The following is a 25,689-nucleotide window of genomic DNA, read 5'->3' as shown; positions in this document are numbered from 1 at the left end:
CTTTCTCCCTCTCTCCCTTCCTCCCACCCGTCCTTACTTCCTTCTCACTGGAATTCCTAAATGGTTACATGAAATTTAAATAGCTTATCACATAAATTTTACTTATTTCCTGAAGAGCGTCTCATTTTATATGCCCTGTATAACTGCTGAAGTCATTCATTTGAGGATGGGATCTGGGAAGAGGTGAAGGTGTAAAGAGCAAATCCTGTCATGGGGTGTTACAGTAACAGCTGATGAACTTTATACAACTCCCTCAGGCAGAACAATTCACTTTTCTGTTCTCCTATAGCAGCAAACATTCTCTTAGCCTTTCTAATTCTGATCTAGAGGGTTGTAGGGGTGATAAAGAGTATAAACAAGGAGCAATTTCAAAGAGGTCCAGTTTGTATCTCCTCCACAGAAATGAACATGGTGGTGTTTTTGTGTACGGGGCAGAAGCAAGGGAGATGAGGTGCCACAGAGGCGTGAATAGTATGGCTGGGATATTTCTGGGCCATTGGAGTCACCAAGATCATTGGGGCTGATTCAGGTCCTAACTAGCGAGGACAGTGTCCTAGGGCCTGGAAGCTTCCAAGGGGTATGGACCTCATCTCCAGCACATGCATGGGTGCTTTAAGGTGATCCCATCTAAGCAGTTCTTATGGCCTGCAGTACCTGGGAAGGTGTGCTGTTACTTAAGAACCTGTCTTACCAGCCAGGTTAACAACACATCTCAAGTCCAGAGCATGTTGCAAAACATTTGTTTTTTGGAGGGGTTCATGTCAGGCCAAGTTGAGTCAGCCTCAGACAGGTGCCCGGAAATCTCTTTTTCTCTTGTCTCCCAATCTTATCCTGCCCTTCTCCTGGGGAAGCTGCTTCCATCCTCCAGTTTCCCACAACAGGTAAGTCCAGGTAGGATTGTGACAGTAGATTTTTACAGCCCTTTCTAGGTGTCTTCTTAGGTGTTTAGACACTTTATAGAAGCACATTTACAAGACACATAAACCTTTCTGTTCCTGGCATTAATCATTTCTCATAAATATCTATGATGCTTGTTATGATCAAATACCTGCTTCCTATAAGAGGTGAGAGTGGGGAGGAATAAGGTGGGAAAGGGAAGGGGAACCCTCATCTTGCCCATGCCACAGAGGTCCATAGGCTAAGACCTTGGGCAGCTCCGGGGCAATATCTAGTTGTTTTGAGACCCACAGGGAGGAGACTGAGAAGATGAAAGATGCATGAAGTCTAACTCTGAGTGGGGGACGAGGCACGCTGTTAGTGGGAGTGTATGTGTGGTCCACACTGTGGGCAGCCGGATGAGATTGTAGTGACACAGCTCCCTCCACCTACCCATTTGTGCATCTTTTAGTTGCTGGAAGCAGCAATGCTCTTATCTATAGTGAGTATCCTTTCTGCTTTTTAAAATGCTTGGGTTTTCTTTCTATGAATTTCCATTAATGAGCATCTTTAGGAAGAGAAAGATTCTGCTTTATTCATATGGAGTCATTTATACAATATAAACTGAAGTTCAGAGCCTTTTATGAGATACATAAATATGACCAGAGGCTGAAAAACATTGGGAGCATCCACTAAATGTAATATGTTATTTTTCGTGGCAGCAATATTATTTTAAATACAAATTCTACGGAGAGTGAATATAAGAATTTATTAGTTAACACCTATAACCTATAAATCCATTTAAGCTGCTCAGATAAATGGATAATCTAAATAGTTATGGTTAGAAAGGCTGACATGGGTTGAGCTTGGCAACATAAAACCTTCATCCGTTGGCCTTTTCCCACAGCATTCTGCAGGCAAACACTGGCTCATTTGAAGTTCTGACCTTCAAGATTTCAAAAGTAGGAGCTGAGATGCAGAAGGCATATGTCTCTTGAAATGTGTTTCTTTTTAGTCTGACGCTCAAAAGAAAAAAATATGGTGATTAATTTGATGGTCATGCACACAAAAGTATACTTTTCCCTGAGAGGCAGTACAATCATGAGGGTTGGGAGTGCAGGCTCTGGAGCCAGACTTCCTGGGTTCACATCCCTCTCCTGCCACTTGCCAGCGGTGTGGTCTTCAGCAAGTCACTTAACCTCTCCATGCTTCAGTTTTCATCCTTAGATACCTTGGATATCTGGATGGCAATGTGCCAAATCACATGCCTTTCCGACCAAACACCTCGTTAATTAAGAGTGCTTAACATGTGCAAAGTACTTAAGCAATGCTTTCTTAATTGGTTAGCATTCTCCTTTGAAAACTGGCGCTAACCACTCTGCCTCGCAGCAAGATTTCCTGGAAAGCCAGTGGAAGGTTACGGAATGGAAAGAAAGCAGGAGGGCCCAGTCTGGGCCAGGAGTTGAGGATGCTGTCGAAGCAGGTAGCAGTAGCCATGGCTAGGTCACTCTTGGGACTGTTCTGGCACTCAGATTGCCTGTGCAACGGGGATGCATCTGACTTCCGAACATTCCTCCTGTTCTGTCAACTCCCAAGATTCAGAGTACTGGAGACAAGGATATTTAGCTAAATTTCTGGCATAGCTCTTCCTGCCCTCCTCCCCACACTGTATCAGGAGTGGGTAAAAGATATATCTGATCCCCTTGGTTTCCATAACAGGAGGTGGCAAGGGAAAGTAGGCACTGGGATCTGTCTTCTTGCCAAGATTACATAAAATGGAGAATTCCACCCGTAGGAACATGTGGTGCTTAGAGTGGAGGTGTGTGGATTCTGGGCAGTCAAAAAAAAAAAATCACAAATCTTTGCTAAACTTGTATAAGACTTCAAATTTCTCTCAATAGTCCCACGAGCAGTGTTGTGCTGGTTAATTTAACAACTGCCTCCCTGGTCCTGATTTGTAGCATTTGTCCATTTTCTCAAGGCAAACCCACTCATCATGGCTAATTTCAAGCTACCAACATGACAGCACTGAACACAGCTGGGAAGAGATGCGCAGTAACATACCACTATGCAGCATCTTCACCACACAGCTACAACAGATGTAAATAACCTCAAGTGCATAGACAGCAGTGAAATGTAGTACTGAGGTTGGTGCAAAAGCAATCACGGTTTTTGCTTTTAATGACAAAAACCGTGATTGCCTTTTTACCAACCTAATAAAATAATTAGAAAGTGATGAGTTTGGAGTATTAATTACCTTTGTTGTTAACATAATTGTAGGTTTATATAATTTAACTTTTAATAATAGCTGGAATTTAAAAATTGGTTTACAAAATTTAACAATCAGCTCCTGTGAGTCATTACGAGCCAGCTCCAGCATACCACTGCCTATGAAGTGGATCAATATAATGTTATTGAGAGAGAGACAAAGAGAAAATGAAAGAAAGATTCTTCTCACTTATGCACTAAGATGCTTGATGGAGAGGCCTAGGGCCTGGAAATTTTGTACAATAGCTTGTAGCATTGGGGGCCCTTCGTAATAGAATAATAACAGTATCTGACATTTATATAGCAAAACACATTTTTATTTAACATTTTCTCATTTTTGAGCCTCACAACAAATCCAAGGGAAAGATAAGCAAGGCATGTTACAGATGAGGGGACTGAGAGTCACTGAGCAAAAGTGACCACTGACAGAGCTGACACTAGAATCGGGTCCATGAGACTTGCAGTTCACAGACTGTTTTCATACCACCCTGTCTCTTTGAACCCCTGTCATCCCTGGAGCAGCCACTTATTACAATCTGGGATGTTGTCAGCCCTCATCCCCAGAATTCAGTCCAGGAGGCAATTCTGCATCTTCACAAATAAAGAATAAAATAAAGTTAGGCCTACAAATGGGCAATGATAGCTGGCTGTATTAACAGCTGTCATAGCCGACTCTAAGATGAGCCCCAGTGATCCTTACTCCTTGGCGTTCGTGTCCTTGGACTCCTACCCTGAATAGGGCTGACCTGTGTGACCAGTAGGATATTACAGATCTGATGGCACGTGACTTCTGAAGCTGGCGGTAAAGAGCACTGCAGCCTCTGCTTTGTTTTCTTTCATCACTTGTTCTGGGGGAATCCCGCAGCTGTATTGGAAGCACCCATGGAAGGGAACTGAGGCCTCCCACCAACAACCAGCCCTACCTGGCAAGCAGTGAGTGAGCCACCCTGGAAGTGGATCCTCCACCTCTACACAAGCATTCAGCTGAAGGCAGACCTGGCTGACATCTGAACGGAGCCTCATGAGTAACCCGACACCAGAATCACCCAGCCAGTGCTCCCACATTTCGGACCCACAGAAACTGTGAGAGATGATCAATGTTTATGCTGTTTGAAGCCACTAAATTTGGGGGTAATTTGTTCTGCAGTAATAGATACACTGAACAGCTTTTAAAGCTGCGCGATATGGGCTTTGGGTCACGTCAACCAGATACAGAAAGGCTTTAGGGACTCAAGAAACACTTTGAGTAAACTTGTTTTCCTCTTTTCACCAAATAAACTGAATTTGAGGCCAATATTTGAAATCTTTGTGCTATATAACTTCTGAAATACATTGTATTCTTAATGCGTTTCCAAGTGACCTGTTGTCCATAGAAAAGTACACTCAACACTGAATGTATCTGCTACTCTGAAGAGCAAGACAGCTCGAACTGGAATTCACTCAGACACCTCATAGCACGAAATCATCTCATAGCCTTTCAGACCCCATCTTCACTGCCACCTTTCATTCTTTTGGGTCTCTGGGCCATGACATCCCCTGTCCTTTCGGAAAGCAGGAACGGAGGGATATAACGAAATAAATTAATTGGGAACGCAGCGGAGCTAGGGACCCTACTGGATGTTGGGGGTGGAACTTTTAAATCATTTACAAAACACCAGTCCCGACCTCCCCTGGAAGACTGAGCTGTTACCTCTTCTGGCGTCCGTGCCCGCGGAAGTTCGCTCCTAGGGAAGTCGCTCGCGTCCTCAAGAGCACCTGAGAGGATCTCGGCGAAGCGGAAGGCTTTGGTGCCAGCTGGGAGAGTCTGCGCCGGATTTCCTCAGCTCCTTGGCGCGTTTCCTCGGAGCCGGGGGAGGCAAAGCACGGACCCCGGAGTCGGCGCCCATAGCGGGACGCCCTCGCGAGGGGCGGGAGTGCGGGAGGTGGGTGTGCGGGCGGCGCGCTCGCCCTCCAGCTGCAGCCCGCGCCGAGCGCGCAGGGCCAGCGAGCGCCGGCGCCTCCAGCATGGAGTGGGAACTCAACTTGCTGCTCTACCTGGCGCTCTTCTTCTTCCTGCTCTTCTTACTTTTCCTCCTGCTCTTCGTGGTCATCAAGCAGCTGAAGAACTCCGTGGCCAACACGGCCGGGGCGCTCCAGCCCGGGCGCCTCTCGGTGCACCGCGAGCCTTGGGGCTTCTCCCGAGAGCAAGCGGTGTGACCCGAGTGCGGGCACTGGCGGGAGGGCACCGAGCTGCGCGGGCGCTGGGCTGGGTCTCCGCCTCGATTCTCCGTCCTCGCGGCCTCCCAGCTTCCAGGTGCGGGGCTCGGCGGCTCTGACGGGTCCGTTCCGGCGTGAGGCGCAGGGACCCGCGTCTCCGCTCCTGTGGGAGGCCCGGGGCTCGCAGCGCGTTCGGGTGCCAGGGACGGTGGGTGTATGGGGTCTGGGCTGGCGCTGTGCTCTTCGAGAGGGACCCTAAGCTGTTCCAGGGCTGGGAGAGATGGCGAAAAGAGAATTCGCCCTTTGGAGCCGGAATGACTTTGGACAACTGCAAGCTCTTTTCTGTCCAACTGCATTTTAGTTATACCCAAGGAGTGGAAAAGTAAATTATTCGGATAATGCAGTTTAGCCACTTTCGAACAAAATCGCAGGTTAACCTGAATATCCACATTTTTGAGAAAGACTGTGTGGGCTTTGGGACGGGTGGCAGGAGGAAACGGGGCGCACTTAAAGTATTTTAAATATTGCTTTAAATATTTTTGCGCTTTGAGAGATGGTAAATGGGGTTCGTCTGGTGGTGCTGGGGTGGGGCGTGGGGGAGAGAAGATTCAGTCGTCCATTTGGAGGGAGGAATCCCTTCCTCCCGGTGATCCTTACTCATATTCTAGCCACCAACCACGGTTAGTGCTTGCGGATTGCCGTGCAGGGTAGGTTTCGAATCTGGGACAGCGGATGGTGAACGTTACAGTGAGAGTCATTTGGAAGATGCCTTAGGGTTGGCCGGTACGTGACCTTTTGGGTGATGGCATGGAGGGCCAGCTAAAAGAGGTACTGTTTGCATAGTGTAGGGAAACAGGAAAAAGGACGGAGAGGCGGGTCTGTGGTTTCAGGTTAAATTACTAGAGCTTTTGCAGAAGATGGGCGGGCAGGAGCAAACTCGAGTACCAGTATGCCCTAAGTACCCTCTCGCTAATGTTAGTTTGGGAAATATCTTCATCCTTCAGTAGCTTTTCCCTAGATTTATGTCATCTCTCTTTCTAGAGCCGAGCTGCTGCCCTTGACTGGTGCTCAGGGGACCACAGCTGCAATGACAGTTTGGGCCTGCAAAAAGAAGGCTGGAACAACGGGAGATGGAAGCTTTCTGCAAATGGTAAGTTGGGATGACGCATGGTTTCACGTTGGCCTTAGTTATGACTAAACTTCTAAAGATCCAGGGCCTAAAAACATGTTGGTTCAGGATGGGGGAAATGGGTACAAGGAAGGAAAGGGCACTCTCCCACTCAAATCTGGTGAGCTTCTACCAGATCCACAAAGCCAAACTGACTCCTAACTCATTGCAAGAATCAGTGTCTTAGTAGAGGATTGTGGAAATTTGAATGAGATGTCAGGAGTGTTTGCACTTTTAATAATCATTCGGCCCTTTTGAAAAACAGTGCGGGGGTTCATGGGGTGAAATATGTGATGCAGATATACTCAATCTTCAGTAAGGGAAGATTTGGGTTTAGTCATGTCAGTGTGGGATAAGCTAAGTCATAACTATAGTATTGAAAATACTAATTTTAGACACAAAGACCATATAGAGAGGCTAAAAACAATGAAATACTAAAGTTTGCCTAAGTTGATAATATAAAAGTGAAGTGTAAGACAATTATTTTAATGCTTCAAAGGAAAAATAGTCTCAGGTGAATAATTTTGGCCCAAGACATTAGATAATTTCCCACTTTCTATTTCACTCTCCCCAAATAGGCCTGTTCTTAATGAAGTAAGAGGTTTACTTTAATTATTATGGTATGAGCAAATCCTCACCTCTTTATCAGAGTTATGGTAAGACTTGATTTGAATTCCCAGTTTGAACTCCCTGAATCAACTGCAGTGATTCTGTATTGTGCTTTGAACAATAGTTCTCTAATTGGTTGATATCTCTGCAGTGGCATTTAGTTAAAAGGTTGTATGGTTAATATGGACATTGAAGATGAGTGTGGGAGTAATTAATTAGCAATTATAGTTGTTTGTAAGGATTGAAAACAATCATTTCACACTTTAGAATAACCAGAATGGAAATTATTTTAACCACATGCTTGCCTTCTTGAGTTTACAATCCTTTAATCTTCCTAGCAGCACCACTGGTATCCATGAATTTAACCTGCCCATCATTCTTCCTAAACAAGAGACTATTGAAAAGTCAGGGTGAGTAGTTTATTACCATCTCAGTATTAATCCAATCTCTCAGCTGGTTCTACTGACTCAGGTTCCTAAGAAAGCAGGGGTGCCTTTCTATCTTGTATCCAGGGCCATTTTATTAACTCCTTGTAATCAAATTCATTAATGACCAAGTTCCCATTTATCCAGGCCACAATGAATATTTATTCCTATTACTCAACCTCTGCTTGGAACTTGACTCTAAGCTCTGGGAATTAAGGTAACTCACATTTGCTCTTAGATCTTGCTGCTGTTGATCTCCTGCCCTGCACTTGCTTTGTTAGAGACTCTGCTTTTGAAACTTTGACAGCTGTAGATGAGCTGTCTTTTGCTGTTTATTTATTTATTCAATCATCATTTTTCCAAGACCTGACATAGACTGATCTCTCAAATTAGAACTACTTTCAAACTCACAATTTTGGCCACCTTTATGCATTTTTGGCTTAGATCAAATACTCTGACACCCACAATGGTCTAGGTTGCAGGCTTCTACATGTTGGCTACTCCATCCCCTGACGATCCCCTGTTCTGACAATCACTATGTGCCAAATCTATTTTTAAAGACTGTATATATATGAGCTAGACATTAAAGCACTTGAAAAGTCAAGAACATTTAACATAACTGCTTATTATATAAATGTAACTTGATTATAGAAGATTCCTGTGTTTTATTTTCAATAAAAAGGTTTTTAGTGATTCTTCAGCAATGTTAGAAGGTGACTTGAATTTCTTACATTATAAGGAAATGAGCCATAATTCTATTATGTAATATTTGTATTTTATTTCAAATGTTATTATTTCATCATTGTTTCTAAATTTCAGGTGTTCAAAATGGCTTCAGATCTTATCAGGACAATCTTGGCTGTTGCACTAATTTCCAAACTTGTAAGTGCAATGGATCTGCAGTTCTACTTGGCAAGATAACCATTTTAAGTTGAATGAGAATGACATCACACTCACACCTGCAAAATCTAAAATGTCTAATAAAGTAGATTCCTATGTCTGAACTTCAATTTTAGGGCACAGCTGTAGATGCAGAACTGATGCCATCTGGTGCGATTCTACAGAATAAGAGAGAAAATTTACCCAGAGTGTGCCATGCACTGGCTTTTCTGGGAATGGCAAGGTGCCAGGATTTGTTTTTGGTTCGCTTGCAGGGGTGGAAACTTGGAACTAGGTGAGTAAAAAATATGAAATACTCTATTTTTAGTTTGACATTCTATATTTCCAATTTTGTCTATAGTTTCAAAATCAGTGCAATAGAGTTAAATTTTAAATGACCAAAATTTTAAAGTTTGTAAATGGTTAAACCATTTAGAATAGTGGGAAATGTTTGTTGTTTTCTAAGTCACACTTACTAATCTAGAGACTGTTAGAACACTAAAGATACTAATGTAATGCATAAGGTATCTACACAGTGCTGTACTTTGTTTTTAATTTTTACAGCTACTCTGAGATATTCGTGCATATTTAAGCTAAATCCACAATTAAAACTCTAGGATCATTAGAATGTCACTGTCAGATGTCTGTGTCACATACAAGAGAAGGTTAAGAATTGAGTTGTAAATCTTTGATGTAGTTTTTTTTTTTTGTTTGAATCAGTGAAATAAATTTCTCAGTCCTCCACTTTTTATTTTGTCTACACAAAATAAATAATGTTATGGGTTAATAATGATCTGATTAAGTATCTGAGTCATGAGCATCTTCCCATACCGGAAGGTGGATTATCAGAAGGGCGTTCAGACCCAGTAATCAGAACTTAATAAGCATGCAGAAAAAGCTTTCTGATGGATTAAGGTTAAAAAAACCTTGTTTTTTTCCTTAATAGTAGCTTTTTATATAATAAGCCCAAACATTTCTGCCATTCTTGGTCTGTATAGACAGATCCTGAAGGACATGGGTGGGTTTGAGCTAAAACCATTATCTGCGACTTTTGTTTTATTAGTATGACTCTGAAGTTACTTGAATTTATTGAATAGGTACAGATTCTTCAAGCAAGATGTCTTTTCCTTTCAGATGAAAAATCACACTTTCCTATTGGGAATCAAGATGAATTTTTATCTTGGTAATGGAATAGGAAGTTCTGGACTGAAGAGCGGCTTAAATAAATTAGAGGGTTTGTTCTTTTCTCACAGAACAAGGAGGTTAGAGGCAGGCAGCTGCTGGTGCTGGTTCAGCAGCTCACGGGTGTCAGGCTTAATTAAGGTGGCTGCTGAGGTTCCCTTGGCTTTTTCCTCCAGGTTCCAAGATGGTCCCCGCAGCACCCCACAAGAAGAAGGAGGAAGCCCACAGAGAAAACGGGGCATGCCAGTTCAAATCCACTTCCTTTTAAAGAGCTTCCTCAGCAGCCCAATAACTTTTGCCTTCATCTCATTGGCCAGAACTGTGTCATTGGCTACTGCTATCTGCAAGATTGTCTGAGAAATGTAGTTTTTGTAGCTGGATATATAACTGCCTTTGACAAAAATCCAGTTTCTCTTGATGAAGAAGAAGATGATGGTGGATCTTGGGAGGACAACTAACATTTTATGCCCTGGCTACAGAATACAGTTGCAGAGGAGCATAAAGTTCAAAAAGATCAAAACTCTAGTTCCTTCACAACTGTCAAAGCTCCAAGCAGCACTGCTCCCCTCTGACAGAGTGAGCAGAGTGAAGGCATGTCAGGTGTTCTCACAAAACTCTTGACAGGGCTGACCTCTCTCAGTCAATATCCTTGTCCCACATCAGGATTTTCTAGAGGGCCCTGGGTACCTGTGCACTTCCTTGGTGGCCGTAACCTCTTTGTGGAGGGTTGGTGTAGGATAAAGAATGTTCTATTACGCTGCTCCCTCATCTGTATCATTTCTCTCCTCTCTAATTTTCCTGTCAGTTATATTTTGGTGGAGTCTGGGTTTGTGTATTTGATTCCTATAGAAAGACCATCGCTTTCATGCATGGAGGAGGGGAATCTACGCAAAGAAAGGCTACCTTACTCCTTTCTGTGACTCCACCACCAGTCTAGGAATATCCTGGGAGAAGAATTGCCTCTCAAAGCTGCTTCTATAAGCAGCCTACATCCTAGCTAAGCAAAGAAGAAACACTTCCCACATCTAGGGCTGTCTAAAAGAACTTTCTGTGATGACAGAAATGTTCTATATCTGCAGTGTCCAATATGGTAACCATATAGGCACATGTGGCTAGTGAACACTTGAAATGTGGCTAGTGTGACTGAGGAAGGAAAATTTAAATTTTGTTTAATTGTAATTAATTTAAATTCAGATAGCCAAATGGGGCTACTAGCTATTGTGTTAGATAGCACGGTATACTTTATTCTCTTTCTTGTGTTGTAGAACCAGCTGGGAGAGGTGTGGGTCAGTCATGGGCTTGGTATCCCCTGGTCTTCACTATTCTAGCTTGCCATTGAATTTGTCTCCCAGAGGAAAAGAAAGAATGGTATTTGGAATTAAATTCAAGATGTTAACTTGACATCTATATATTGCACATATTCCTGTATAGTGAATGGATGACCTCCTGGGAATAGTTCCTGTGACTGATTTTAGTGATAATTGATCATGAAGAAATGGCAGTACTGCTCCACTTCACCTTCCTAGTGACTATTATGTGTTCCTAGTCAGAGTGACTCAGCAGAGATTATTTTGTTCTCTTGTGCAATTTATTCTGTGTCATTTTATTTTTGTAATATTGTGGCAGCTAAATGATTATTCTGTGTATGTTTTTCAAAATATTAGGTGGCTTATATTTTTTAAAAGGCTATGAAATAAAAATAAACTATACGTAACACAGTTTTTAATGTGGCTTTTTATTGGTGAGTTATTATTACCAAACTTTGTTAACGGTCATTTAGAATGAGATTCATAGATAGAAATATTTAGTTTTATGTTAAATTTACTTTTTAATGGGCAAATTTATATGCCAATTAATGTTATCTTCTTGAAATATTAAATGATTCTTCCATTATATTCAGAGTTTGGATAAAGTATGAGGGTTGTATAGTATTACTGGATTAATTCTTTTCTCATGTATCTGGTTGTTTCATCACACTAAGCATCACTTGGACCTTATTTCTCTACAAGTGCCCTGTTTTGGGTTGTTTGTCTTTTGTTATTGAGTTATAGGAATTCTTGATATCTTCTGGACACTAGTCCTTTATCAAATATATATGCTTTGCAAATATGTTCTCCCACTTTGTGGCTAGCCTATTCATTTTCTTAACAGTGTCTTCAAAAGATGTATTTTAAATTTTAAAGTTTAATTTATCTAGTTTTTCTTTTATGTTGATTGCTTTCTCTGTCCTAAGAGACTTTTGCCTATACCCTGTCACCAAAAATATTCTCCTGTGTTTTCTTCTAAGCTAGAAACTTTATAGTTTTAACTTTTACTAGGTCTATTTTCCATACTAAATTAATTTTTGGCCAGGCACTGTGGCTCACGCCTGTAATCCCAGCATTTTGGGAGGCTGAAGCGGGTGGATCACCTGAGGTCAGGAGTTCAAGACCAGCCTGGCCAACATGGTGAAACCCTGTCTCTACTAAAAAGACAAAAATTAGCCAGGTATGGTGGTGGGTGCCTGTAATCCCAGCTACTTGGGAGGCTGAGGTGCGAGAATCACTTGAACCCAAGAAGTTGAGGCTACAGTGAGCCAAGATCATGCCACTGCACTTCAGTCTGGGCAACAAAGTGAGACTCCATCTCAAAAAAAATAATAATAATTTTTGTGTATGGTATGAGGTGAAGATTGAGGTTCTTTTTCCTCCTATATATAAACAATGTTTCTGTTTTTGTTTTTTTATTTGTTGAAGAGACTTTACCCATTGGATTACTTTGGCATCTTTGTCAAAAATCAAATAACCATGTAAGTGTGGATGTCTTTCTGGTTTCTCTGTTCTGTTCCATAGGGCCATCCTTATGTCATTCCCACAGTGTCTTGATTACTGTAAGTTTTATTGTAAGTCTTGGTATTCACCATAAAATATTATGCATTTGAACTTTTATAATCGCCCACTCTGAGTCTACACACTAAGAGGCTTGAGTAATTTTGTTGAAAATGGTTCAGATTCATTTAAAAAAACCCCACCCAACACCATGCTTCCTTTATTCCTGCTCCCAGCTCCATGGAAAATCAGAGTCTACATCTGGGGTAGCTCTTGGTCAAGAGGAATGCCCTCATGTTTCATGATAAGCAAACCATATGCACATTGTTTTTACTTTCCTTTAAGAAATTTAACCATTATTCTCTATTCATTTATTCAACAGATACTTATTGAGGATCTAGCAGGTGCCAGACACAATTCTGGTTATTTAGGCTGTATTAGTGAACAATAATAAAGCAAAGATACCTTCCCTATCATGGAGCTTACTTACATTCTACACATATAGTTGTCCCGTTTTTTTTTTGTTTTGTTTTTGAGATGGAGTTTCGCTCTTGTTGCCCAGGCTGGAGCGCAACGGTACGCTCTCGGCTCACCACAACCTCCGCCTCCTGAGTTCAAGTGATTCTCCTGCCTCAGCCTCCTGAGTAGCTGGGATTACATGCATGTGCCACCACTCCCAGCTAATTTTGTGTTTTTAGTAGAGATGGGGTTTCACCATGTTGGTCAGGCTGGTCTTGAACTCCCAACCTCAGGTGATCTGCCCACCTTGGCCTCCCAAAGTTCTGGGATTACAGGCATGAGCCACTGCGCCCAGCCAGTTGTCCCTTTTTAACTGCTCTGTAGTATTTCATGTGTAAAAAAAGCATAATTTATTTAACCAATTATTTGTTAATGGATATTTAGTTGTTTCCTGGCTTTTGCTATTACTGACAATAGTACATAATCCTTTGATGTAAATCTTTGATCAATATATGCATACAGCTATAGGATAAACTCCTAGCTGTGGACTATCTAGGTATGTACATTTTGTAAAAATTTGTTATAGAAACTTGAAACATATATAGAAATAGAGGGAATATTGCTTCAAAATTTATTCTCATTGATTATTTTAAATTTTTATTTTATTGATTTGTTCTTTAATAGATTTCATAACTGAGGGGCAGTTTTCAGGTTATAGAATAATTGAGTTTAAAGTAGAGAGTTCTCACATACCAACCCCACACTCCCCAACCCCACACTCCATTTCTATTCTTATTAAAATCTTTTATTAGCATGTTACATTTGTTACAATCGATTACCAATATTAATACATTATTAACTAAAGTTTACAGAGTTTACTCTGTAACTGTAAAGTTTACAGTTTACATTAACATTCACTCTTGATGTATGTTCTATGGGTTTTAGCAAACGTACCATGACATGCCGCCGCCATTGCTGTATCACACAAAATCATTTCACTGCCCTAAAAATCACCTGTACTCCACCTATTTGTCTCTCCCTGCCTCCAAACTCCAGGCAACCACTGATTTTTTTTTACTGTGTCCACAGTTTTGCCATTTTCAGAATGTCATATAATTGGAATCATACAGTAAGGCAGCCATTCAGATTGGCTTCTCTCAATTAGCAATATGCATTTAAGTTTCCTCCATGTGTTTTTGTGGCTTGATAGCTCATTTCTTTTTATCTCTAAGTAATAGTCCGTTGTACAGATGTACCAAAATTTGTTTATCCATTCATCTATTAAAGGATATCTTGGTTGCTTTCAAGTTTTGGCAATTACAAATAAAGTTGCTATAAACTCTCTCATGCAGTTTTTTGTGCGGATGTTAAGTTTTCAACTCATTTGAGTAAATACCAAGGAATATGATTGCTGGATTGTATGGTAAGACTATGCTTAGTTTGTAAGAAACTGCCAAACTGTCTTCTAAAGTGGCTTACCATTTTGCATTTCCACTAGCAATGAATGAGCTCTGGTTGCTCTACATCCTCATCAGCATCTGATGTTATCAGTGTTTTGGATTTTAGTCATTCTAATAAGTGTCTAGTGGTTTCTTGTTGTTTTAATTTGCATTTCTCTAATGATGTATGATGTTGAACATCTTTTCATATACTTATTTGTCATCTGTATATCTTTTTTGTTGAGATGTCTCTTTAGACCTTTTGCCCATTGTATAGTTGGGTTGTTGTTTTTTTCTTATCGTGAGTTTTAAGAGTTCTTTGTATACATTGGATATCAGTTCTTTATGAGATAGGTATTTTGCAAATATTATCTCTGTCTGTGATTTGTCTTTTTATTCTCTTAACAGGGGCTTTTGCAGAGAAAAAGTTTTTAATTTTAAGGAAGTTCAACTTAACAATTTATTCTCTCATGAATCATGATTTTGATGTTGTATCTAAAAACATCACCAAACCCAAGGTCACCTAGATTTTTTCCCTAAGTTATCTTCCAGGGGTTGTATAACTGTATAGTTTTGCATTGTACATTTGCATTGCTGTGGCCCATTTTAAATTAATTTTTGTGTATTTTTGCATGTAGATGTGCAGTTGTTCCAGTACCATTTGTTGAAAAGACTCACTGATTTTTTTTTTCTTTTTTAAAATTTTACTTTAAGTTCTGGGATACAAGTTCAGAACATGTAGATTTCTATATTTAGAAAAACCCATTGTCTCAGCCCAAAAGCACATGTTACATAGGTATACATGTGCTATGGTGGTTTGCTGCACCTATCAACCCATCACCTAGGTTTGAAGCCCCCCATGCATTAGCTATTTGTTCTTATGCTCTCCCTCCCCTCATCCCCCACCTCCAACTGGACCCAGTGTGTGTTGTTCCCCTCCCTGTGTCCATGTGTTCTCATTGTTCAACTCCCACTTATGAGTGAGAACATGTGATGTTTGGTTTTTTGTTGCTGTGTTAGTTTGCTGAGGATGATGGCTTCCAGCTTCATCCATATTCCTGCAAAGGACATGATCTCATTCCTTTTTATGGCTGCATGGTATTCCATGGTGTATATGTACCATATTTTGTTTATCCAGTCTATCACTGATGGGCATTTGGGTTGGTTCCATGTCTTTGCTATTGTATATAGTGCTGCAATAAACATATGTATGTATGTGTCTTTACAGTAGAATGATTTATGTTCGTTTGTGTATATACCCAGTAATGGGGTTACCGGGTCAAATGGTACTTCTTGTTCTAGATCCTTGAGGAATTGCCACACTGTGTTCCACAATGGTTGAACTAATTTATGTTCCCACTGACAGTGTAAAAACGCTCCTATTTGTTCACAGCCTCACCAGGATCAATTGTTTCTTGACTTTTTAATAATTGCCATTCTGATTGGTGTCAGATGGTACATCATTGTGGTTTTGATTTGCATTTCTCTAATGATCAGTGATGTTGAGCTTTTTTTCATATGTTTATTGGCCACATAAATGTCTTCTTTTGAGAAGTGTCTGTTCATATCCTTTGCCCACTTTTTGATGGAGTTGTTTGTTTTTTTCTAGTGAATTTGTTTAAGTTCCTTGCAGATCCTGGATATTAGACCTTTGTCAGATGGGTAGATTGCAAAAATTTTCTCCTATTCTGTAGGTTGCATGTTCACTCTGATGTTAGTTTCTTTTGCTGTGCAGAAGCCCTTTAGTTTAATTAGATCCCAGTTGTCAATTTTGTTTTTTGTTGCAATTGTCTTCGGTGTGTTTGTCATGAAGTCTTTGCCCATGCCTATGTCCTGAATGGTATTGCCTAGGTTTTCTTCTAGGGTTTTTGTGGTTTTGGGTTTTACACTTAAGTCTTTAATCATCTTGAGTTAATTTTTGTATAAGGTGTAAGGAAGGGGTTCAGTTTCAGTTTTCTGCATATGGCTAGCTAGTTTTCCCAGCACCATTTATTAGATAGGGAATCCTTTCCCCATGGCTTGTTTTTGTCAGGTTTGTTAAAGATCAGATGGTTGTAGATGTGTGGTATTATTTCTGAGGCCTGTTCCCTTCCATTGGTCTATACATCTGTTTTGGTACTAGTACCATGCTGTTTTGGTCACGTAGCCTTGTAGTATAGTTTGAAGTCAGGTAGCGTGATGCCTCCAGTTTTGTTCTTTTGCTTAGGATGGTCTTGGCTATGTGGGCTCTTTTTCGGTTCCATATGAAACTTAAAGTAGTTTTTTCTAATTCTGTGAAGAATGTCAATGGTAGTTTAATGGGAATAGTATTGAATCTATAAATTACTTTGAGCAGTATGGCCATTTTCACAATATTGATTCTTCCTATCCAAGAGGATGGACTGTTTTTCCATTTGTTTGTGCCCTCTCTTATTCCTTGAGCAGTAATTTGTAGTTCTCCTTGAAGAGGTCCTTCACATCCCTTGTTAGCTGTATTTCTAGGTATTTTATTATCTTTGTAGCAATTGTGAATGGGAGTTCATTCATGATTTGGTTCTCTGCTTGTCTACTGTTTGTGTATAGAATGCTTGTGATTTTTGCACATGGATTTTGTATCCTGAGACTTTGCTGGACTTGATTACCAGCTTAAGGAGCTTTTGGGCTGAGACAGTGGGGTTTTCTAAATATAGCATCATGTTGTCTGCAAACAGAGACAATTTGACTTCCATTCTTCCTATTTGAATACGCTTTGTTTCTTTCTCTTGCCTGATTGACCTGGCCAGAACTTCCAATACTATGTTGAATAGGAGTGGTGAGAGAGGGTATCCTTGCCTTGTGCTGGTTTTCAAAGGGAATGCTTCCAGCTTTTGCCCATTCAGTATGATATTGGCTGTGGGTTTGTCATAAATAGCTTTTATTATTTTGAGATATGTTCCATCAATACCTAGTTTATTGAGAGTTTTTAAATGTGAAGTGATATTGAATTTTATCAAAGGCCTTTTCTAAATCTATTGAGATAATCATGTGGTTTTTGTCATTGGTTCTGCTTATGTAATGGATTGTGTTTATTGATTTGCATATGTGGAACCAGCCTTGCATCCCAGGGATGAAGCTGCCTTCATCATGGTGGATAAGCTGTTTGATGTGCTGCTGGATTTGGTCTGCCAGCATTTTATTGAGGATTTTCGCATCAATGTTCATCAGGGATATTGGCCTGAAGTTTTCTTTTTTTGCTGTGCCTCTGCCAGGTTTTGGTATCAGAATGATGCTGCCTCATAAAATGAATTAAGGAGGAGTCCCTCCTTTTCAATTGGTTGGAATAGTTTCAGAAGGAATTGTATCATCTCCTGTTTATACCTCTGGTAGAATTCGGCTGTGAATCCATCTGGTCCTGAGATCTTCTAGGTCGGTAGGCTATTAATTACTGCCTCAATTTCAGAACTTGTTATTGGTGTATTCAGGGATTCGACTTCTTCCTGGTTTAGTCTTGGGAGGGTATATGTGTCCAGGAATTTATCCATTTCTTCTAGATTTTTTAGTTTATTTGTGTAGAGGTGTTTATAGTATTCTCTGATGGTAGTTTGTATTTCTGTGGGGTGACTCATTGATTGTTAGATACAAAATAAGATGTGTCATCAGAGGGGACTCCTCATCTCTTCACATTTCAAAATCCTACTTATTAAATCATCCTGTATGTTGTGAGTTCTTTTGCTCAATAGAAATGATTAATATTTCTATTGAGCAAAAAATTTAATATTCTGAATATTTAATATTCTGAGCCTAATAAAATGTTAAGCCTTTACTGGCTTAGTCTACTGGTCCTGCCTACTTCCCTATTACCTTTTGGGTGCAGGTAAGGGAAATTCAAACTCAAGATGCTGTAAGCAAATAAAGAAAATTTATGGACTTAGTAACTGAAAGAACCAAGGGTAGACTTAATTGAGGTACATAGAGACAGAAATTCAAACAATGTTATCAAAATCTAGTTTTTCTCTAATCTCTAGCTCCATTTTCAGATATTTAACATCCAATCATATTTATTAAGCATGTACTTTATTCCAGACAGTTTTAGATGTGAGGAAGCAGTGGAAATGAGAAAGGTAAGGTCCTTATTTTTGTTGAGTTTACATTCCAGTAAAAGTCTTGAGACGCATTCTGATTGAATAGGCTTAGGTCATATGCTTACCCTTGAACTAATTACTTGGCCAACAGGATACATGCTAATGAGGTTTAGGCTGGGATCATTTGACTTATCCCTAGGGTTAAAGATGGGCCTGCACCTGGACCATATAGACTGAGAGTAGGGCAGGGCTCGATGCTCACATCAAAATCTGGGATGTTGTTGAGAACAGGCAGAATGGATGCCGGGAGAAAAGACAAATATGTCCTTCAGTTAATTTCTTTGGGATGGCCTACTCAAGAAAATTCTCCAGGAAACTGTTTCTTTTGCAGTGGTTCTCAAGGGGTTAGGAAGTATTAATATTAGGATCCCTCAGTAAGCTCTTACAACACACATATTCCCTAGGTCTTTATGGAACCAAACTAATTTTATTCAGAATAGTGTGTCTGAGACATTACTTTTCCTAGACTCCCTTGCTGATGAATTAAAAGCTGAAGCTACCAGACAGGATCTCCAAGAAGACTCCTGAAGAGGCAGATGTGCTAGAGCATCCCCTATTGCCATTTCTGCCTTCCTCTTTCCTGCTGCCTGCATGGTCTCAATGGCCCCAGCTCCAGAAGCCCCCTTGGACATTAGTCCATAGTGACGACGGAAGCTTGTGCTGAGAAAGGCAGCCAGAGAGAAGGAAAGAGCAGGATCTCTGATGACCATGGAGCAACCATACCTACTCTAGACTACTTTTCTCCGAACTTCTTCTGTGTAAAGTCCCCCTTATTTTCACTTGTATGTTGTATACAGTTGAATTTAATCCTACCTGCTTCACTTCTTCATTCACATATTCTGATATGTTTGAGGCTGAAAACATAAAAAATGCTTCCTAGATAGTTTGATGTGAACTTGTCCTAGTTGTTTGAAGACCACCATCCTAATGTCTAATTTTGGCTTTTGAGGATTAGTGGTGACAACAGACATGATCATGAATGGAAGAGGAGAGTCATTCAGTCACCCTGCTTTTGTTTCTGTTTTTCTTTGTTCTTATTATGCACCGGGAGGTGCATACAGCTTTGCAAGAGGGTACCAGACTTGCTGGCAAAGGGGCCCTTTCACTGCTGCTTAGGATGGAAAGCATCTTTTTATGGACCAAACTGCCTTTGTCTGGCTGAGTTGGTGGAGAATATGGTTTAAAAAGCTAGATGTCTTCTAATTTCATTTTTCTTTTTTGTTCTTTTTTTAAATGAGGCAACCCAACTCTGCAAAGGTAATAGTTACTTGCTTCGCTGTTATGAAATATAGAAATAAGAATATCATATGGGCTAAACTGTATTTCTCCAAAATTCATATGTTGAAGTCCTAACTTATTCTTTTTCTCATCGTTTGAGACAAGGTCTGGCTCTATTGCCCAGGCTGGAGTGCAGTGGCGTTATCTCCGCTCCCAGCAAGCTCTGCCTCCCAGGCTCAAGCCACCCTCCCACCTCAGCCTCCCGAGTAGCTGGGACTACAGGCATGTTCCACCATGCCTCGCTAATTTTTGTATTTTTTGTAGAGGTGGAGTTTCAGATATTTAACATTTAATCATATTTATTAAGCATATACTTTGCTCCAGACAGTTTTAGATGCTGAGACGGCAGTGAAAACAAGACAGATAAGGTCCTTATTTGCCCAGGCTGGTCTCGAACTCCTGAGCTCAAGTGATCCTCCTGCCTCAGCCTCGCAAATTGCTGGGTTTACAGGTGTGAACCATTGTGCCCAGCCTGAAGTCCTGAAGTCCTAACTTCCAGTATCTCAAAATGTATTTGGAGATAGGTCCTTTAAAGAGGTAACTAAGGTTAAATGAAGTCATTAGGCTGGATCCTAATTCAATATGACTTTTATCCAAAAAAAGAGGCGATTAAAACACAGACATGCCGTGTAAAGATAGAGGAAGATGATGGCTGTTTTAGCATTCTCCAAAGAAAACTATGCATGTGTATATATAAATATATATAGATGTATGTGTGTACTGTATATGTGTATGTATATATACATATAAATATATACATATGTGCATTACAATACATAACATATATTCACACATCCACATATCCTTTTTATATATATAAATATATATGAAGGAGGTTTATTATGAGGAATTGATTTACATGATTATGGAGGCTGAGTCCCATGATCTGCTGTCTACAAGCTGGAGACACATGGAAGCCAGGGGTATAATTTAGTTCAAGCCCCAAGGCTTGAAAACCAGGGCACAGATGGTACAAATCCTAGTCTGAGAGCAGGAGATGAGATAAAATATCCCAGTTCAGAAACAAATGGGTCGAATTCCTCCCTCCTCTACCTTTTGTTCTATTCAGGCCCTCAGTGAACGAGACAGGACCCACCCTCATCAGGAGGGCCATCTGCATCGCTCAGTCCACCAATTCAACTGCTAATCTTTTCTGAAAGCACTCTCAGGCACACCCAGAAATAACGATTATCTGGGCATCCTGTGACCCAGTCAAGTTGACACACAGTAATAACCATCACAATGGCCATCTGCAAGCCAAGGAGAGAGACCTCAGAAGAAATTAACCCTGCTGACACTTTGATCTCAGACTTCTGGCTTCCAGAACTGTGAGGAAATAAATTTCTGTTCTTTAAGCCACCCAGTCTTTAGTACTTTGTTATGTCAGCCCAAACAAACTCATACAGAATCCAATCACTTCCTAGACTCAATTTGGTTAGCTATTCTGGCATGCAGAAGATTGCTTTAGAATAGTCAGAAAGCAGGATTTCTGTTATCCAGCATCTGAAGGCATGTGCATACAGAGCACATATAAGATTAATATAAGACGAGTACTTCTCATGTCCACCTTTGTATGTATCATTTAATGTGGATGCAGTTTGTTCACTTCTAATTTCTCAGATGACAAATGCCCAAATTACTCAATGTAGTTATTTCTCCTGCATGCTATTATGAATTGATGTTTCTGAGTGCTTTAATTCAAGATTTGAAAAAGATGAATTTATAATCCAATCAACATGGATGCCAATTAGATATGAATCTGTGCTAATATTAAATGATCACAGTGCTAGTTTTTACATAGGGCATAAAGGAAATATAAGGTTTTAAAAAATGGTTCACTCATAATTATCTGTAATAATTACAAAAGCCATAAAAATGGATGAGAATTGTCTAAAATCAGATTATAATATCCTAAAATGGTTTTCTTAGAATATTTACTGTGTTCCAAATATTGCAAGGTAAACTTAATTAGAACATGAGGCAACTTGTGGGGGTCTCCACGTCCCTAAGTGTTTGGGAAATGTATCAGTCCCTCAAGGGAGGAAACCCTTTTGACATCATCTAGGTAAACAAAGAATTAAACAATGAGTGAAATTATTTAGGATTAGACAATAACTGGAAGAGGTTTCTGCGAATGCAATATAATGAAATCTTCTTTTAAAAATGTTTTTCCTTTGATGTTTCAGTATGAGCTCTTAAAAACTATACGGTTTGGTTATGTGGCCATTTCAGTTTTGGTTGTTCTTATAGATCATTTTAATTGCTCTTATTTTTGTTCCTGAGTCTTGTACTACAGATGTAAAAGTACTTAAAAGGTTAGAATTGTCTTCACAAATATGAATTATTGATTTCATGACCATGTTGTTATCCTGCCAGTTTTTTGTCTGGGGCAATATCATAACAGGCATAATCTTCAAAGCAGAACAAATACAAATATAAATTTTGCATATCTCATTGTAAATATATTTGGTTAATTTAATACTCCCAGTAATCACCTATCTACTGCTACGAACAGCATTATCTCCCAAATTTATTAATTTTGTGCAGATTATAGATTTACTTCAGCTGCTTCCCAGTGTCCTAACAGGTGTCCCCTCTCTTTGGTTAAAATGCTAACAAAGGGGACGCAAACTCAGATGCCTTCAAAGGCCAGGTAGATAGCCTAAAGGTACTATAACACTGTGTGTATTTGTGTGTATGTTTGTGTCTGTGTGCGTATGTGGTTGAGTGTCTATAAGTGTGTGTTTGTATGATGTGCATGTGTGCTTGTGTGTGTGTTGTGTGGTTGTGTTTCTGTGTATTTGTGTGTGTTCATATGTGTGTGCATGTGTACATGCACACATGTGCATGAGGTGAGGGGTAAGGACTGTGGCAAGCTGCATGGTATGTGCTTTACTGTTAGATGCTCTTGTTCACAAATTTATAAAATACCATACTGGCCAAACAGAACATCAAAGTCTTTATGCTTAGATTCTAAAATGTCTCAGTACTACAGGGTTACATTATCCTTTATTTCTAATAAAAAGTGATTTGAAAAGTACATTTTAGAAAGACAGCTCGTCCTAAGATTTTGATGTCAGATTTGGGTTGATATTTAACTACTTAAATATTGCCTATATACTTCCTTTGCCTTCCTTACTGTATTTTATTTTATTCTCATAATAGAGATTGTTAGCCTGATGCTGCAGGGTTAGTTTAAGGATAAGATGAAAGAAAATATGCGAAAATATCTAGTCCAGTGCTGGAAATATGTTTTAAAGACACTTGCATTTAAAAAAATTAAAGGAGATGGTCATTATAAAGTCTTTGTGTACTCTCTGTACTTATCTATGTAAGTGTAGATAGAGATATAATCTATAGGTTGTAGGCCTTGTAGAAATAGTCAATAAATATTTAAGAAATTCATTCCAGTAACTGAGGAATGATGAACTAAATCAGGATATTTACTTAATGCAATAATATACAGCCATTTAAAAATAAAATATATGAAGTCTATGTAGCAAAAAGAACAATGTAGTAATATTATGTAAAAAAAAAAAGCCTGATCATAAAATTTTATATTTACCATGGTGGTAACCATGCAAAATACACATACAAAAATGCTGTAAGGGAATATATAAAATGACAATACTTGTGTTAAATAGTGGGATTTGGAATTCCTGCATCTATTTTCCAGACTTTTAAAATGTTGCTTTACTGCTTTGATAATGGAAAAGTAAATTTATTAAAATTTAGGTATCTCATTGTGGTTTTGATTTGCATTTCTCTGATGGCCAGTGATGATGAGCATTTTTTCATGTGTCTGTTGGCTGCATAGATGTCTTCTTTTGAGAAGTGTCTGCTCATATCCTTTGCCCACTTTTTGATGGGGTTGTTTGTTTTTTTCTTGTAAATTTGTTTGAGTTCTTTGTAGATTCTGGATATTAGCCCTTTGTCAGATGGGTAGATTGCAAAAATTTTCTCCCATTCTGTAGATTGCCTGTTCACTCTGATGGTAGTTTCTTTTGCTGTACAGAAGCTCTTTAGTTTAATTAGATCCCATTTGTCAATTTTGGCTTTTGTTGCCATTGCTTTTGGTGTTTTAGACATGAAGTCCTTGCCCATGCCTATGTCCTGAATGGTATTGCCTAGGTTTTCTTCTAGGGTTTTTATGGTTTTAGGTCTAACATTTAAATCTTTAATCCATCTTGAATTAATCTCACACCAGTGAGAATGGCGATCATTAAAAAGTCAGGAAACAACAGGTGCTGGAGAGAATGTGGAGAAATAGGAACACTTTTACACTGCTGGTAAACTAGTTCAACCATTGTGGAAGACAGTGTGGTGATTCCTTAAGGATCTAGAACTAGAAATACCATTTGACCCAGCCATCCCATTACTGGGTATATACCCAAAGGATTATAAATCATGCTGCTATAAAGGCACATGCACACGTATGTTTATTGCGGCACTATTTACAATAGCAAAGACTTGGAACCAACCCAAATGTCCATCAATGATAGACTGGATTAAGAAAATGTGGCACATATATACCATGGAATACTATGCAGCCATAAAAAAGGATGAGTTCATGTCCTTTGTGGGACATGGATGAAGCTGGAAACCATCATTCTCAGCAAACTATTCCAAGAACGAAAAACCAAACACTGCATGTTCTCACTCACAGGTGAGAATTGAACAATGAGAACACTTGAACACAGGAAGGGGAACATCACACACTCGGGCCTGTTGTGGGTCAGGGGAAGGGGGGAGGGAAAGCATTAGGAGATATACCCAATGTAAATGATGAGTTACTGGGTGCAGCACACCAACATGGCACATGTATACATATGTAACAAATCTGCACGTTGTGCACATGTATCCTAGAACTTAAAGTATAATTAAAAAAAAAAAAGAAAATGTGGCACATATATACCATTGAATACTATGCAGCCATAAAAAAGGATGAGTACATGTCCTTTGCAGGGACACGGATGAAGCTGGAAACCATCATTTTCAGCAAACTATCACAAGGACAGAAAACCAAACATCACATGTTCTCACTCATAAGTGGGAGTTGAACAATGAGAACACATGGACACAGGGTGGGGAACATCACACACTGGGGCCTTGGGGAAGGATAGCATTAGGAAAAATACCTAATGTAAATGACGAGTTGATGGGTGCAGCAAACCAACATAGTACATGTATACCTATGTAACAAATCTGCACGTTGTGCACATGTACCCTAGAACTTAAAGTATAATAATAATAATAATGATAATGATAATAAAATATTTGTGGGACATTTAAAAAAATAAATAAATAAAATAAAATTTAGGAAAACCACTTGTGAATTTTTTTTCTTTTTTTTTTTAATGCCAGAGTCTCACTCTGTCACCCAGGCCGGAGTGCAGCGGTGGGATCTCGGCTCACTGCAACCTCCACCTCCTGGGTTCCAGCGATTCTCCTGCCTCAGCCTCCCAAGAAGCTGGGACTACATGCGCGTGCCACCACACCCGGCTAATTTCTGTATTTTTTGTAGAGACAGGGTTTCACCATGTTGGCCAGGCTGGTCTCAAACTCCTGACCTCAAGTGATCCTCCCGCCTTGGCCCTGCAAAGCGCTGGAATTACAGGCATGAGCCACAGGGCCTGGCCTGTGAAATTGTTTTTGAACCTAATATTTGGATATCTGACATGCCTTCAGGGGAAGAGGCCTCACCACCCTGGTCCAGTTGTAATGCTCAAAGGCAGGATTTGCTTGACTCTGGAAAACCTGGGTCCCAAGAATTCTTGAGATGGAGAGCTTTCCACGTGACTTTTTGCTTTCTTTTTTGAAGAATATTGCAAATATATCCTTATTTCTTTTTCTGAATATAAAAGTAATGTGTACTCAGTATAAGTATTCAGACACTTATTAAAGATATTCCATAATCCTATGCCCTTAATTGATTTTCCTATCTTTTTCATATATATAACATATTTTTATTATTTTTCGAGTCATAATTTGGAACCTATTCTA

General features: G+C 39.8%; 1 protein-coding gene and 1 long non-coding RNA gene across 7 annotated transcripts, besides 3 other annotated features; one reads left to right on the top strand and one right to left on the bottom strand.

Moving 5' to 3' along the window:
* Positions 1-3,445: 3,445 nt before the first annotated feature.
* On the bottom strand, positions 3,446-5,669 carry PP12613 (uncharacterized LOC100192379). The gene has a single exon (NR_024365.1). It is a non-coding gene; the product is annotated as an uncharacterized LOC100192379 (long non-coding RNA).
* SMIM43 (small integral membrane protein 43) lies at positions 4,821-11,324 on the top strand. 6 transcript variants are annotated; one of them, NR_169195.2, is made up of 6 exons: positions 4,821-5,066; positions 6,382-6,490; positions 7,459-7,527; positions 8,362-8,424; positions 8,559-8,716; positions 9,780-11,324. NR_169195.2 is itself a non-coding variant. In NM_001384333.1 (6 exons), exon 1 carries the CDS (start codon positions 5,149-5,151, stop codon positions 5,338-5,340), a length of 192 nt encoding a protein of 63 aa, NP_001371262.1. In that variant the 5' UTR covers positions 5,090-5,148; the 3' UTR covers positions 5,341-5,437; positions 6,382-6,490; positions 7,459-7,527; positions 8,362-8,424; positions 8,559-8,716; positions 9,780-11,324. The 6 variants fall into 6 exon arrangements, 3 of the variants coding, with proteins under 3 accessions (NP_001371262.1, NP_001371261.1, NP_001371263.1); NR_169194.3 differs by having other exon boundaries at positions 7,456-7,527; NM_001384333.1 differs by lacking the exon at positions 4,821-5,066 and adding an exon at positions 5,090-5,437.
* Positions 9,076-9,245: an enhancer, noted in NCBI's record as "experimental_72694 CRE fragment used in MPRA reporter constructs". NCBI's record gives its function as "activates a minimal promoter by MPRAs in K562 erythroleukemia cells, with activity observed for both the introgressed and non-introgressed 4:122682249 variant alleles {active_cell/tissue: K562}" and the evidence as "EXISTENCE:reporter gene assay evidence [ECO:0000049][PMID:34662402]".
* Positions 20,505-21,108: an enhancer, noted in NCBI's record as "OCT4-NANOG hESC enhancer chr4:122670301-122670904 (GRCh37/hg19 assembly coordinates)". NCBI's record gives its function as "activates a minimal SCP1, AML or CMV promoter by ChIP-STARR-seq in naive and primed H9 embryonic stem cells {active_cell/tissue: H9 hESC(naive and primed)}" and the evidence as "EXISTENCE:reporter gene assay evidence [ECO:0000049][PMID:30033119]".
* Positions 21,109-21,712: an enhancer, noted in NCBI's record as "OCT4-NANOG-H3K27ac hESC enhancer chr4:122669697-122670300 (GRCh37/hg19 assembly coordinates)". NCBI's record gives its function as "activates a minimal SCP1, AML or CMV promoter by ChIP-STARR-seq in primed H9 embryonic stem cells {active_cell/tissue: H9 hESC(primed)}" and the evidence as "EXISTENCE:reporter gene assay evidence [ECO:0000049][PMID:30033119]".

This window comes from Homo sapiens, chromosome 4 (assembly GCF_000001405.40).
Source record: "Homo sapiens chromosome 4, GRCh38.p14 Primary Assembly".
Classification (NCBI taxonomy): Eukaryota; Metazoa; Chordata; class Mammalia; order Primates; family Hominidae; genus Homo; species Homo sapiens.
This window is presented reverse-complemented; position numbering and strand designations above follow the sequence as displayed.